The sequence below is a fragment of the Homo sapiens genome, chromosome 5, assembly GCF_000001405.40.
Source record: "Homo sapiens chromosome 5, GRCh38.p14 Primary Assembly".
Classification (NCBI taxonomy): Eukaryota; Metazoa; Chordata; class Mammalia; order Primates; family Hominidae; genus Homo; species Homo sapiens.
In genome coordinates, this window is record NC_000005.10 from 154,009,943 (window position 1) to 154,025,841 (window position 15,899).

At 38.3% G+C, this 15,899-nt stretch overlaps 1 protein-coding gene across 15 annotated transcripts in view; it reads right to left on the reverse strand.

Annotated features, from left to right (window-relative positions):
• FAM114A2 (family with sequence similarity 114 member A2) overlaps positions 1–15,899 on the reverse strand; it is a 48,763-nt gene that overhangs the window by 19,795 nt on the left and 13,069 nt on the right. For 13 of the 15 annotated variants that reach the window (NM_001317995.2, NM_018691.4, NM_001317993.2 and 10 more), the window contains one exon: positions 1,299–1,378. The exons of the other annotated variants lie outside the window; for them this stretch is intronic. In NM_001317995.2, coding sequence (NP_001304924.1) covers positions 1,299–1,378 — 80 coding nt within the window. The remainder of the gene's footprint in view (positions 1–1,298; positions 1,379–15,899) is intronic. 15 annotated transcript variants of the gene reach the window in all.

The window sequence follows — 15,899 nt, forward strand, 5'->3', positions numbered from 1 at the left end:
CAACTGATGTAACTGAAATATGGAAAATAGATTACAACAAATTAGTACAACAAAAGTACTAATGTTAAATTTACTGAAGTTGATAGCTACACTGTGGTTATGTAAGGGAATATCCCTATCCTTAGCAGACACATACTGAAACATTTAGAAGAGCAATAATGTTTACAATTTACTCTCAAATAGTTACAAAAATAAAGTGTTTATCTATATATGTATACATGTATTTACACAGAGAAAGAACACATGTGAAAGCACAAATGTTTGAGCAAATGAAGTAAGTATTAACAGTACTGGATTTGCATAAAAGGTATACAAATATTGTTTGTGCTACTCTTGTAACTTTTCTCTAAGTTTGATATTATTTCCAAAATAAAAAGCACTATAAGATCAAAAGTGCTTTAGTAAAGTGTTACAGTAGAGGTGAGGGAGATGAGCTGCCTGGGGATGATCTAAAAGAGCTTTTTCAGAGAATGCAGCATTTTCGATGGGCATAGGAGAGTGGGATAACACACCAAACATCATAGTTTTTGCCCTGGGGGATGGAGACAAGGTGACTGGGTTGACTATGCAATAGCTCTCACCTCTCCCTGGCCAGGAAACAATGTGCACCTGCAGCTGACTGGTCCTGAAATGCTTCTCAAGATTGGTAGAGGTGGGTAAAGAGGTAGCAAGCAATCCATGACCCAGTGAACAGTGTCCCAAGAGCAGGCACTGGCTTATACTTGCCACAGAACCTCCCTACCCACTCTGAGCTTTGATTAAAGTCTCTCCACATTCCAAATATAAGAAAATAGTTCCAGAATCAGCACCAAAAATAAGGGCCTTGGTCATAATACTCTCTCATTTCCACACGCCAAATAGTCATTATCTGAGTCACTGGGCTCTGGGTAATGACAACCTCTAATCCCTATGGGCAAGGCCACATATCATCTCTAAATCATTCAGATCCCTGAGAACAGTGAGTCCTCGACAGAGGCTCACCCACTGGAATCATGAGGCTGGTCATCACTGCCAACTTTTAATGACCAACATTGTAGACTAAATTAAGCTTTCAGATAAGCAAAGCATCCCAAATGAAAACAGGTAAGGATGGGACACGTGTTGTGGGGCAGATGTGGCTTCAACACACTAACCTGGAGGAGCAGAAGGCAAGTAGATGCAGAACCCAATTCTGGGTATAACGAGAATATACCTTCGATTTTGGTGACACCTCTGCCAGGAATTTATAATCTTATGCTCTTTATCCACTACATTTTTACAAGTAAAATAATGAAAATCACCAAGAAGCAATAACTTACCCTGGCAAGTTTCTCTGGTTTGGAGGAAACGTGCAGCTGGGAAAACAGCTCTGTTATGTCCTTGGTAAAATCTTCATCCCCTAAAAAACCAAGTCCCATATAAAACACTCCAGAAAGACTGCTGAGGATCATGAGGTGGCAGGCGAGGAGGAAGAGGAGAGGAGTGGTAATAGCAGTGACAGTAGTAGTAATAACAATAGTAGCAGCAGTAATGTACATGAGCATGGTGCTTTAGTGCTTATAGAATCCTTTTACGTATATCAATAAATGCTTCAATGGGCTTGAGAGAAAAGTGCCATTATTCCATGTTAGAGATGAAGTGATAAAGGCTTGAAGACATTAAGTGACTTCCCCAAGACTGCATAGCAAAGATTAGTAGTCAAACCTTAGTCTTCCTACTCCCAGTCCAAACCCTGTGCTGTGCTTTTTGCATTATATCCAGAGCAAGAATATAGAAATGGTGACAGCATAGACTAAGCAAGTACTGTACATGCGCTTCCAAGAAAGTGGAGTTTAAGTTGGGACATCAAACTTGAGTACAAGTTAGCCAGGAGAATAGGAAGAGTTTCAGGCAGAGAAACAAATGTAAAAAGCCAAAGGTGAAAGAAAGTATGGGAAGAAGTTTAATATGATTGAGAATATCTAACGTAAGGGGGAGAAGTGGTAAGCTAGAAAGGTAAGATCCAGATAATAAAGGCCATATAATCGATGGTGAAGAATTCAAACTTTATAATGAGGAAGTGAGGAACCACTGAATGGTTTTAAGCAGAAACAGAATCACATTTAAATTTTAGAAAGATCACTTTGGTGGCTGGGTGGAGAATGGATTAGAAGGCGGAAAAGAAGAGAGGCAGGCTGAGGCAATAATCTAGGATCCAGGTAAGACAAAATGGTGGATAAGAAGAAAAAAGGATCAATCATTATGCATCCATAATAATTAAAAATAAAAAGAAGAGAAGCAAAGGGGATTCCAGAACGTTGGAAGGATGGTAAGGAAGCTGTTGGAGTTAGTCTTGTGAAAGATGATGGAGAACCAGGAACACTTACAAAGAAACAAGCAAGCAAATGGGTGACTCAAGATCAAAAAGCAATTAGCAAATCCAATCAGTGCGAAATGCTCTCTTTCCCTCTCCACTCATCTGAATCCTATACACTCCCCACTTTGTGGTCCAGCCCAAGGCTTCTCTGCAACATGGAATGCAGAAGAGAACTCTTGTACATAGAAATCTTCTAGCAATCTATTTACAGTCTATAGAATATTTCTTAATTCACTATAGTTTGCCAGGGCAAATCATTACTGCTTCATACTCAGCATCTTCCCTAATATTCCCAGGAATAAAACAGTGTATCTTGGCTCTTCTCTCTCCATCCACTATCCTTTTGTCCCTCTCTCTTGGTGTTTAAGGCAGAGAATTAAATGATTTAGTGATCTCAGGTATAATAAGGTTTGGGAAAAGCTGATCTCACTAACTGATACAACTCTTCCTACATAACTCATCTAAACAACTGCTAATAATATCCTACTATTTAGGTAGACATTTTGTTTTCTCAAGTAATTTATAATTTGGATACAAGGGATGAATCTGAACCCATAGTGGGATGCATATACCCAAAGAGGTTCACAAAATAATTCAATGGAGGGCAGGAAAAAAAATGGACTTTTTTATTTATAGAGATTTATCTCATTCTATTAAAAATTCTATTTTAGGGTATATTTTAGAATGTTAATTATACATTATTATGGTAGTACATATAATTTATATAATTTACATATAAATTATTTATATTCACATATAATTTATATGAATTTACAGATTATATAATTTATAAACATCCAAATACCCACATATTATGTCTGAATGTGAAACACTGCTTAGAGTTGTGATAAAAAAATTTTGAAGATTACTGTCATCTACTGTTTAGAATTGAGTAGAAAAAGTAGTTATTGCATTAGAATAAAAATGTGTAAGGATGGAAAAGAGACTGGTTTAGTGCTTTGGAGGGACTCTGGAGAGGGGCTGGAAGACTCCTTCTGAAAAAAGGAGTCAGGTACATATGGTAGAGGGGCAAGAGCCCAGGATGCTCATGGAAAATGAAGATAACCAACATCATAACCAGAACCAGTTTCTATGGTATTCTCTCCCCTCTGATACCACCACTTTTTTAAAAAACAGCTTCATAGAGACATAATTAAATACTAAGGTCACTATTGCATTCTCAACCAAAATCACTGGGGAAGGCTGGGGCACAGTGAGTGGTGGGGGGAATCCAGTGCTATCTTTTCAGAGTTCTGATCTCTGGTGAACAAGTAGGAGAAAAAAATATCATAGACACAAATCCATCTGTTTAGAAAACTACTTGGAGTTCTCTGAATGGTATTTAAAGACTGAGATTTCTGATTACTATGCAAAGCCAGATGTTGAGTAAATTGAACAAATACTGTTAATGGCACTACAAACAAATAAGTTTATAAATAACTGAGGACTGTCATGTCAAGGCTTGATTAGGAAATTAGGAACAATGGAGCAACTTAAGAAAATCAAAATTAATTTCTTGGTTTCCTGCTAAGACTTTTAAAATGCATATTTTTACCTATTTATTTATGCCCTCCTAATAATGAAAGTAATAACAGCTACATTTATTGAGTGCTTACTATATGCCACATATTAAATATAGTATTTCATTTAATCCTTATTACTTGAGAGGAATTAGCATACTCTTCTTACAGGTTAGGAAACAGAAGCTCAATGTTAAGTAACTTCTCAAAGTCACATGGCTTAGTAAATGGCAGATCTTGATTTTGAATCCAAGTCTAATTCCAAAACCCATCCTTTTATTCACCATGCTATACTGCCTTCTCAATATCTCAAGGCAGCTTTAGAAACTTGTATTCAAGAACCGTTTTCCAATCAGGACAAGTACCTTTACATAGAATAAGGTATCATTTAGCAAGATGCTATATAACCAGCCAGTTTGACTTCTTAGGACACAATGCAGAACAGAAATGGAAACAAAAAAGAAAAAGTCCTGAAAGTAGGAGAGATCATGGCGGACAGGAGGCAGGAAGAGATTTCAGGTCCCACTTGGATGGACAGAGCAGCGCGTGGAGGCTCGCATCGTAAACTTCTGCTCCAGAATGACTACAGGAATATATCAGGAAGGCCAAGAGAACCCATATACCCTCTGAAGGAAGTGGATTGCTCCTGCAGGACCCGGGAGACATCTCAAATACTGTGAGTGCCCAAATAGTGTGGAAGTGGAAAGGGAGATCATCTACCCCAGAACACACACCCCACTGGGGAACCTGAGGGTCTAGATTAAAGGGAGATGAATCTGACCTTACTGGAGCTGAGTCAATTTAGAGAGCCAAGTGAAATACAGGGGTAGAGGAAGCAGTAGGAAAACCCCTGTGGGCTCGCTGGGTCCCCTAGCAAGCAGTTTCCATCTTGCCTCACAGGGGTCCTTGGGGAGGATGGCCAGAGGCACTGGGAAAAGGCCACAGGGAGAAGGAAACCTCCAGTTGAACTTCGCAACAATTTGAACTGATGGAGAAGTCTCCTGACCAGAACTCAGGAGAGGGCATGAATCCAGTGTGTGGACTCCACAGGCAGGGGAAAAATGAAAGTCCTACTTGCTTTCACAGCTGGGAGGTGGGTAGTCTGGGGCAAGTTCTCAGCCCTGCTTGCCCACTGCCTGGAAACAGACTCAGTGTGGTTGGGGAGCAGGCACAGTGGGAGTGAGACTGGCCCTTTGGGTTGCATGGAAAAGCCTGTGACTGCTGGCTTTCCCCCACTTCCCTGACAACCTGCATGACACAGCAGAGGCAGCCATAATCCTCCTAGGAACATAACTCCATTGACCTGGACCTCATCCCCATTCCCCACAGCAGCCACAGCAAGACCTGCCTCAAGAGAGTCTGAGCTCAGACACACCTAACCCTGCCCTTCCCACCCTGATAACTGAAGACAAAGAATATATACTCTTGGGAGTTCTAGGGCCCTGCTCACTGCCTGTTCCTCTCCATACTACCACAGCTGATGCTTTCTTGAAAGTGCCACCTCCTGGCAGGAGGCCAACCAGCATAAAAATAGTGCATTAAGCAACCAAAGCCAAGGATGCTCACAGAGTCCACTTCGTCCCCGACACCTCCAGCAAAACAGGTGCGGGTATCCACAGCTGAGAGACCCACACAGACAGTTCACAGGACTCTGTGGAGAAAACCCCCAGTACCAGACTGGAGCCTGGGAGACTTGCTGGGTGGCTAGATCCAGAAGAGAGATAACAATCACTACAGCTTGGCTCTCAGGAAGTCACATCCTTAGGAAAAGGGGGAAGGGTGCTACGTCAAGGAAATACCCCATGGGACAAAAGAATCTGAACAACACCCTTGAGCCCTAGACCTTTCCTCTGACACAGCCCACCCAAATGAGAAGGAACCAGAAAACCAACTCTGGTAATATGACAAAACAAGGTTCTTTAACACCCCCAAAAATCACACTAGCTCACCAGCAATGAATCCAAACCAAGAAGAAATCCCTGATTCAACTGAAAAAGAATTCAGAGGTTAGTAATTAAGCTAATCAAGGAGGCACCACAGAAAGGCAAAGCCCAATTTAAGGAAATCAAAAAAATGATATGAGAAGTGACAGGAAAAATATTCAATGACAGAGATAGCATAAATAAAAAAACAATCCAAACTTAAGGAAACAACGGACGCACTTACAGAAATGCAAAATGCTGTAGAAAGTCTCAGCAATAGAATTGAACAAGCAGAAGAAAGAACTTCAGAGCTCATAGACAAGGCCTTCAAATTAACCCATTCCAACAAAGACAAAAGAAAAAGAAAATATGAACAAAGCATCCAAGAAGTCTGGGATTATGTTAAATGACCAAACCTAAGAATAATCAGCATTTCTGAAGAAGAGAAATGTAAAAGTTTGGAAAACACATTTGGGGGAATAATCGAGGAAAACTTCCCCAGCCTTGTTAGAGACTTAGGCATCCAAATACAAGAAGCTCAAAGAACATCTGGGAAATTCATCGCAAAAAGACCATCGCCTAGGCACATTGTAATCTGGTTATCTAAAGTTAAGACAAGGGAAAGAATCTCAAGCTGTGATACAGAAGCACCAGGTAACCTATAAAGGAAAAACCTATCAGATTAACAGCAGATTTCTCAGCAGAAACCCTACAAGCTAGAAGGGATTGGGGCCCTATCTTCAGCCTCCTCAAACAAAACAATTATCAGCCAAGAATTTTGTATCCAGTGAAACTAAGCTTCATAAATGAAGGAAAGATACAGTCTTTTTCAAACAAACAAATGCTGAGAGAATTTGCCACTACCAAGCCAGCAGTACAAGAACTGCACTGCAAGAACTGCTAAAAGGAGCTCTCAATCTTGAAACAAATCCTGGAAACACATCAAAACAGAACTTACTTAAAGCATAAATCTCATGACCTATAAAACAAAAATACAATTAAAAAAAAAAAACAAGGTGTACAGGCAACACAGCACAATGAATGGAATGGTGCCTCACATCTCAAAAGTAATGTTGAATGTAAATGGCCTAAACGCTCCACTTAAAAGACACAGAATTGCAAGAAGGATAAGAACTCACCAACCATCTGCTGCCTTCAAGAGATTAACCTAAAACATAAGGACTCACGTAAGCTTAAGGTAAAGGGGTGGAAAAAGACATTCCATGCAAATGGACACCAAAAGCAATCAGAGGTAGCTATTCTTGTATCAGACAAAACAAACTTTAAAGCAACAGCAATTAAAAAAGACAAAGAGGGACATCATATAATGGCAAAAGGCAGTGTCCAACAGGAATATATCACAATCCTAAACATACATGCACCTAACACTGGAGGTCCCAAATTTATAAAACAATTGCCAATAGACCTAAGACATGAGATAGGCTGGGTGCAGTGGCTCACGCCTGTAATCCCAGCATTTTGGGAGGCCGAGGCAGGTGTATCACCTGAGGTCGGGAGTTCAAGACCAGCCTGACAAACATAGAGAAACCCCGTCTCTACTAAAAATACAAAATTAGCCAGGCGTGGTGGCACATGCCTGTAATCCCAGCTACTCAGGAGGCTGAGGCAGAAGAATCCCTTGAACCTGGGAGGCAGAGGTTGCGGTGAGCCGAGATCGTGCCATTGCACTCCAGCCTGGGCAACAAGAGCGAAACTCCATCTCAAAAAAAATAAATAAATAAAATAAAAATGAGATAGACAGCAACACAATAATAGTGGGGGACTTTAACACCCCACTGACAACACTTGACAGGTCATCAAAACAGACAACAAAGAAACAATGGATTTAAACTATACCCTGGAACAAACTGACTTAACAGATATACACAGAACATTCTACCCAACAACTGCTGAATATACATTCTATTCAACAGTGCATGGAACTTTCTCCAAGACAGACCATATGATAGGCCACAAAAGGGGCCTCTATAAATTAAAAAAAGTGAAATTATATCATGCACTCTCTCAGATCACAGTGGAATAAAACTAGAAATCAACTCTTCAAAACCATGCAAATACATCGAAATTAAATAACCTGCTCCTGAATGATTCTGGGTCAAAATGAAATCAAGATGGAAATTAAATTCTTCAAACTGAATGACAATAGCGATACAACCTATCAAAACCTCTGGGATACTGCTAGGAGGAAAGTTAAATAGGCCGAAACACCTACATCAAAAAGTCTGAACGAGCACTAACAGACAATCTAAAGTCACACCTCAAGGAAACAGAGAAACAAGAACAAACCAAACCCAAACCCAGCAGAAGAAAGGAAATAACCAAGATCAGAACAGAACTAAATGAAGTTGAAACAAACAAAAATACAAAAGACAACTGAAACAAAAAGTTGATTCTTTGAAAAGATAAATAGAATTGATAGACCATTCGCAAGATTAACCAAGAAGAGAGAAAATCCAAATAATCTCAATTAGAAACGAAATGAGAGACATTAAAACTGACATCACAGAAATACAAAAGATCATTCATGGCTGCTATGAACACCTGTATGCGCATAAACTAGAAAACCTAGAGGAGACGGATAAATTTCTGGAAAGATACAACCCTCCTAGCTTAAATCAGGAAGAATTAGATACCCTGAACAAACCAATAACAAGCAGCAAGACTGAAATGGTAATTTTAAAAATTACCAACAAAAAAAAGTCCAGGACCAGACGGATTCACAGCAGAATTCCACCAGACATTAAAAAAAGAATTGGTACCAATCCTATTGATACTATTTCACAAGATAAAGAGGGAACCCTCACTAAATCATTCTATGAAGCCAGTATCATCCTAATTCCAAAACCAGGAAAGAACATAACCAAAAAAGAAAACTACAAACCAATATCCCTGATGAGTATAGATGCTAAAATCCTTAACAAAGTACTAGCTAACCAAATCCAACAACATATCAAAAAGATAATCCACCATGATCAAGTGGGTTTCATACTAGGGATGCAGGGATGGTTTAACATATGAAAGGCAATAAATGTGATATACCACATAAGCAGAATTAAAAACAAAAATCATACAATCATCTCAATCAATGCAGAAAAAGCATTCAACAAAATGCAGCATCCTTTATGATTAAAACTCTCAACAAAATCAGCATACAAGGGACATATACCTCAATGTAATAAAAGCCATCTATGACAAACCCACAGTCAACATAATACCGAATGGAGAGAAGTTGAAAGCATTCCCTCTGAGAACTGGAACAAGACAAGGATGCCCACTCTCACCACTCCTCTTCAACACAGTACTGGAAGTCCTAGCCAGAGCAATCAGAGAAAGAAATAAAGGGCATCCAAATCAAAAAAGAGGAAGTCAAACTAACTGTCACTGTTTGCTGATGATTGTTTACCTAGAAAACTCTGAAGTCCTAGAACTGATAAAAGAATTCAGCAATGTTTCTGGATACAAAATTAATGTACACAAATCAGTAGCTCTTCAATACACCAACAGTGACCAAGCAGAGAATCAAATCAAGAACTCAACCTCTTTTACAATAGCTGCAAAAAAAATATTTAGGAATATACCCAACCAAGAAGGTGAAAGACCCCAACAAGGAAAACTACAAAACACTGCTGAAAGAAATCATAGACGATACAAACAAATGAAAACACATCCCATGCTCATGGATGGTAGAATCAACATTTTGAAAATGACCACACCACCCAAAGCAATCTACAAATTCAACACTATCCCCATCAAAATACCACCGCCATTATTCATTGAACTAGAAAAAACAATCCTAAAATTTGTATGGAACCAAAAAAGAGCCCACACAGCCAAAGCAAGACTAAGCAAAAAGAATAAATCTGGAAGCATCACATTACCTGATTTCAAACTATACTATAAGACCATAGTCACCAAAACAGCATGGTATTAGTATAAAAACAGGCACGTAGTCCAATAGAACAGAATAGAGAACCCAGAAACAAACCCAAATACTTAAGGCCAACTGATCTTTCACAAAGCAAACAAAAACATGAAGTAGGGAAAGGACACCCTATTAAACAAATGGTGCTGGGATAATTGCTAGCCACATGTAGGAGAATGAAACTGGATCTTCTCAGCACCACACTGCACTTATTCCAAAATTGACCACATAGTTGGAAGCACTCCTCAGCAAATGTAAAAGAACAGAAATCACAACAAACTGTTTCTCAGACCACAGTGCAATCAAATTAGAACTCAGGATTAAGAAACTCACTAAAAACTGCACAACTACATGGAAACTGAACAACCTGCTCCTGAATGACCACTGGGTACCTAACAAAATGAAGGCAGAAATAAACATGTTCTTTGAAACCAATGAGAACAAAGACACAATGTACCAGAATCTATGGGACACATTTAGAGCAGTGTGTAGAACACTGCATTTATAGCACTAAATGCCCACAAGAGAAAGCAGGAAAGATCTAAAATCGACACCCTAACATCACAATTAAAAGAACTAGAGAAGCAAGAGCGAACAAATTCAAAAGCTAGCAGAAGGCAAGAAATAACTAAGATCAGAGCAGAACTGAAGGAGATAGAGACACAAAAAAACCCTTCAAAAAATCAATGAATCCAGGAGCTGATTTTTTGCAAAGATCAACAAAATTGATACACCATTAGCGAGACTAACAAAGAAGAGAGAAGAATCAAATAGATGCAATAAAAAAATGATGAAGAGTATATCACCACCAATCCCACAGAAATACAAACTACCATCAGAGAATACTATCAACACCTCTACACAAATAAACTAGAAAATCAAGAAGAAATGGAGACATTCCTGGACACACACGCCCTCCCAAGACTAAACCAGAAAGAAGTTGAATCTCTGAACAGAGCAATAACAGCCTCTGAAATTAAAGCAATAATTAATAGCTTACCAACCAAAAAAAGTCCAGGATCAGATGGATTCACAGCCGAATTCTAGCAAAGGGACAAAGAGGAGCTGTTACCATTCCTTCTAAAACTACTCCAATCAATAAAAAAAGAAGGAATCCTCCCTAACTCATTTTATGAGGTCAGCATCATCCTGATACCAAAGCCTGGCAGAGACACGACAAAAAAAGAGAATTTTAGACCAATATCCCTGATGAACATCAATGCAAAAATCCTCAATAAAATACTGGCAAACCGAATCCAGCAGCACACCAAAAAGCTTATCCACCAAGATCAAGTTGGCTTTATCCCTGGGATGCAAAGCTGGTTCAACATATGCAAATCAATAAACGTAATCCATCACGTAAACAGAACCAACGACAAAAACCACATGATTATCTCAACAGATGCAGAAAAGGCCTTTGACAAAATTCAACAGCCCTTCATACTAAAAACTCTCAATAAACTAGGTATTGATGGAACGTATCTCAAAATAATAAGAGCTATCTATGACAAACCCACAGCCAGTATCATACTGAATGGGCAAAAACTGGAAGCATTCCCTTTGAAAACTGGCACAAGACAGGGATGCCCTCTCTCACCGCTCCTATTCAACATAGTGTTGGAAGTTCTGGCCAGGGCACTCAGGCAAGAGAAAGAAATAAAGGGTATTCGACTAGGAAAAGAGGAAGTCAAATTGTCCCTGTTTGCAGATGACATGATTGTATATTTAGAAAACCCCATTGTCTCAGCCCAAAATCTCCTTAAGCTGATAAGCAACCTCAGCAAAGTCTCAGGACACAAAATCGATGTTGAAAAATCACAAGCATTCTTATATACCAATAACAGACAAACAGAGAGCCAAATCATGAGTGAACTCCCATTCACAATTGCTTCAAAGAGAATAAAATACGTAAGAATCCAACTTACAAGGGATGAGAAGGACCTCTTCAAGGAGAACCACAAACCACTGCTCAACGAAATAAAAGAGGACACAAACAAATGGAAGAACATTCCATGCTCATAGAGAGGAAGAATCAATATCGTGAAAATGGCCATACTGCCCAAGGTAATTTATAGATTCAATGCCATCCCCATCAAGCTACCAATGACTTTCTTCACAGAATTGGAAAAAACTACTGTAAAGTTCATATGGAACCAAAAAAGAGCCCGCATTGCCAAGACAATCCTAAGCCAAAAGAACAAAGCTGGAGGCATCATATAGACTTCAAACTATACTACAAGGCCACAGTAACCAAAACAGCATGGTACTGGTACCAAACGGGAAATATAGACCAATGGAACAGAACAGAGGCCTCAGAAATAACATCACACATCTACAACCATCTGATCTTTGACAAACCTGACCAAAACAAGCAATGGGGAAAGGATTCCCTATTTAATAAATGGTGCTGGGAAAACTGGCTAGCCATATGGAGAAAGCTGAAACTGGATCCCTTCCTTACACCTTATACAAAAATCAATTCAAGATGGATTAGACTTAGACCTAAACCCATAAAAACCCTAGAAGAAAACCTAGGCGATACCATTCAGGACATAGGCATGGGCAAGGACTTCATGACTAAAACACCAAAAGCAATGGCAACAAAAGCCAAAACAGATAAATGGGATCTAATTAAACTAAAGAGCTTCTGCACAGCAAAAGAAACTACCATCAGCGTGAACAGGCAACCTACAGAATGGGAGAAGATGTTTGCAATCTACCCATCTGACAAAGGGCTGATATCCAGAATTTACAAAGAACTTAAACAAATTTACAAGAAAAAATCAAACAACCCCATCAAAAAGTGGGCAAAGGATATCAACAGATATGTCTCAAAAGAAGACATGTATGCAGCCAATAGACACGTGAAAAAATGCTCATCATCACTGGTCATCAGAGAAATGCAAATCAAAACCACAATGAGATACCATCTTACACCAGTTAGAATGGCGATCATTAAAAAGTCAGGACACAACAGGTGCTGGAGAGGATGTGAAGAAATAGGAATGCTTTTACAATGTTGGTGGGAGTGTAAACTAGTTCAACCATTGTGGAAGACAGTGTGGTGATTCCTCAAGGATCTAGAACTAGAAATACCATTTGACCCAGTGATCCCATTACTGGATATATACCCAAAGGATTATAAATCATGCTACTATGAGGACACATGCACACATATGTTTATTGTAGCACTATTCACAATAGCAAAGACTTGGAACCAACCCAAATGTCCATCAATGATAGACTGGATTAAGAAAATGTGGCACATATACACCATGCAATACTATGCAGCCATAAAAAAGGATGAGTTCATGTCCTTTGTAGCGACATGGATGAAGCTGGAAACCATCATTCTGAGCAAACTATCACAAGGACAGAAAACCAAACACCACTTGTTCTCACCCATAGGTGGGAACTGAACAATGAGAACACTTGGACACAGGGCGGGGAACATCACACACCTGGGCCTGTCGTGGGGTCAGGGGATGGGGGAGGGATAGCATTGGGAGAAGTGCCTAACATAAATGATGAGTTGATGGGTGCAGCAAACCAACACGGCACATGTATACATACGTAACAGGCCTGCACGTTGTGCACATGTACCCTAAAACTTAAAGTATACTAATAAAATAATTTAAAAAAGAAAAAGATACTTGCACACGCATGTTTAAGCAGCACAATTCAAAAGTGCAAAAATGTGGAACCAACTCAAATGCCCATCAATCAACGAGTAGATAAAGAAACTGTGGTATATATATACATGATGGAATACTACTCAGCCATAAAAACGAATGAATTAATGCATTCGCAGCGACCTGGATGAGACTGGATGCTATTGTTCTAAGTAAAGTAACTCAGGAATGGAAAACCAAACATCATATGCTCTCATTCACAAGTAGGAGCTAAGCTATGAGGATGCAAAGGCTTAAGAATGACACAATGGGCTTCGGGGACTCAGGGGGAAAGGATGGGAAGGGAGTGTGGTGTATACTGCTCAGGTGCACAAATTGGGTGCAGTGTATACTGCTCAGGTGATAGGTGCACCAAATTCTCACAAATCACCAGTAAAGAACTTATGTAATCAAACACCACCTGTTCCCTGATAACCTATGGAAATAAAAAAAATTGAAAAAAACAGAAGACAAAAAGCACTGGTAAAGATAACTATGTAATTATAAATGATATACATGTATATTTCTTCTCCTTAACTGATTTAAAAAGAAAAAGAAAAAAAAGTCCCTGTTTGTAGAGAATCCACACAGTTAACTTTATGTTTCCTGTCACAAGAAAGACTCTAAGACCCTCACTCAGAGCTCTTTGCTTTTAATAGACATCTCAAATAAAATTAGTTACCTGGTTTCTCACCCACAGATTAGAAATAGAAAACCAAATAAGATTCAGGGGATATCAGAAGCCAGCTAACAGTGAAGTAAAAGATGAACAGATAAATGAACAGAAAGAAATAAAGATGTACAATTCTAAAAAGCAATCAGAGACATTTCTAAAAAGCATTGCAGTTTAGGTCATTTAATCTGGTAATTCTCAAACTTGTTGGTCTCAGGACCTTGTTCTTGTAAAACTTTCTGAGAACATTAAAGAGCTTTTTTAGTGTAAGTTTTATACATATACATATAAAAAGTTATAAATATTTATATAAAGCTAAAACAAAGTGTTTATTAATTCATTCAAAACAGTAAACCCATACCACTTATTAACATAAACCTACTTTTTATTTTAAAAAACTATATTTTTCAAAAAAGAAAAAGTTTAGTGAGAACAGTGCCATCAGGGTTGAATCTCTTTAATATCTAGTTTAACAGATGACAGCTAAATTCTCTTATCTACTTTTATATTCAGTCTGTTATGTTGCTTTAAGTATATGAAGAAAATCCAACTTTACAAAGATACATAGTTGGAAAGGGAAGAAGTATTTTAATAGCCTTTTCAGATCATTATTAATATTCTTTAATACCACATTAAAACTCAACAAGTGGTCGTTTCTTAAAAATTAGTTGCAATGAACCATATTGCAGTATACCTGAAACCATATCATAAAATTTTGTACACTAAATTAAAATCCATTAGGTCTTTTACCCATGGTGATTTGACATTTAGAAAATATTGGTTCTCTGAGTTATGCAGACTTTCCAAATGCTGACACATTTCCTTGTTAAAATATCAAAAAGTGATATTTTAACAAATATGATCACCACCAATTTCATAAGAAGAGTCTATAAGCACTGGGAAGCTGTCAAGCTCACCACAGCAGCAAATATGTTTTACAAAGTTTCAACCTTCACTTAAATTTTTATCATGACTCACAAATAAATTAGTTGCTCTCCTTGAAGAAAAGGTTCACTTCATTCATTTTCAGGAAAATGTGTACCAATTATCCTATTCTGAATAGTCTCTGTGACTGTTATCCTTTCAAGTAAAAATGGTATTCCACGAAAAAAGCACATAGTTCAGCTCACAACTCAAATAATGTAAGTGCTTTTCCTGAGACAACCATCATACTTCAGTAGGCATCACACAGAATATTTGTAAGATGCATACTTAAAGGTAAAGATTTAATAAAATTAATAATTTTTACTGCTTCATCAAGGACAAGATTAAATAAAACTGGCACTTTTTTTTTTAACTGCCAATGCATGGCAATGAAAATGCAATGACACTAGTAGAGTCTGCTAACATCTTGATCCATGTTATGGCACCAGCAATTTTATGCATCATTGTTATTCACCAACAGCACAAATGCCAAAGCAGAAAAAAAACTCATTATAATTTTTAAAAAATTCCTAAGTAGACAACATCTTAGTATTATGATGCAGAGTTCTGACTCATAGACTCCCTGAAAGGGTTCTGGGAATTCAAGGGTCTACAGACCACACTTTGTTCATCACTGATTTAACCTACTACATGGGTGATTGGCCCTATGTCTTAATGAAACCTGAGAGAATTTTTCCATTCACTTTTAATGTTTATAACTGATTATTTCATGAAGAAAAGGCAAAACTGTATTCATTAGATTCCACTTTTTTAAAAAAAAAAGGTCAGTTAGTGTATATCTTAGAAATATTTCCAGCTAAAATGTCAATAAAACAACCCTTAGAACTTAATATTCAGTTGCCTGGCAATTATACTTTACGTCAGCCATCTCATTTCCTGACCCATCTCAT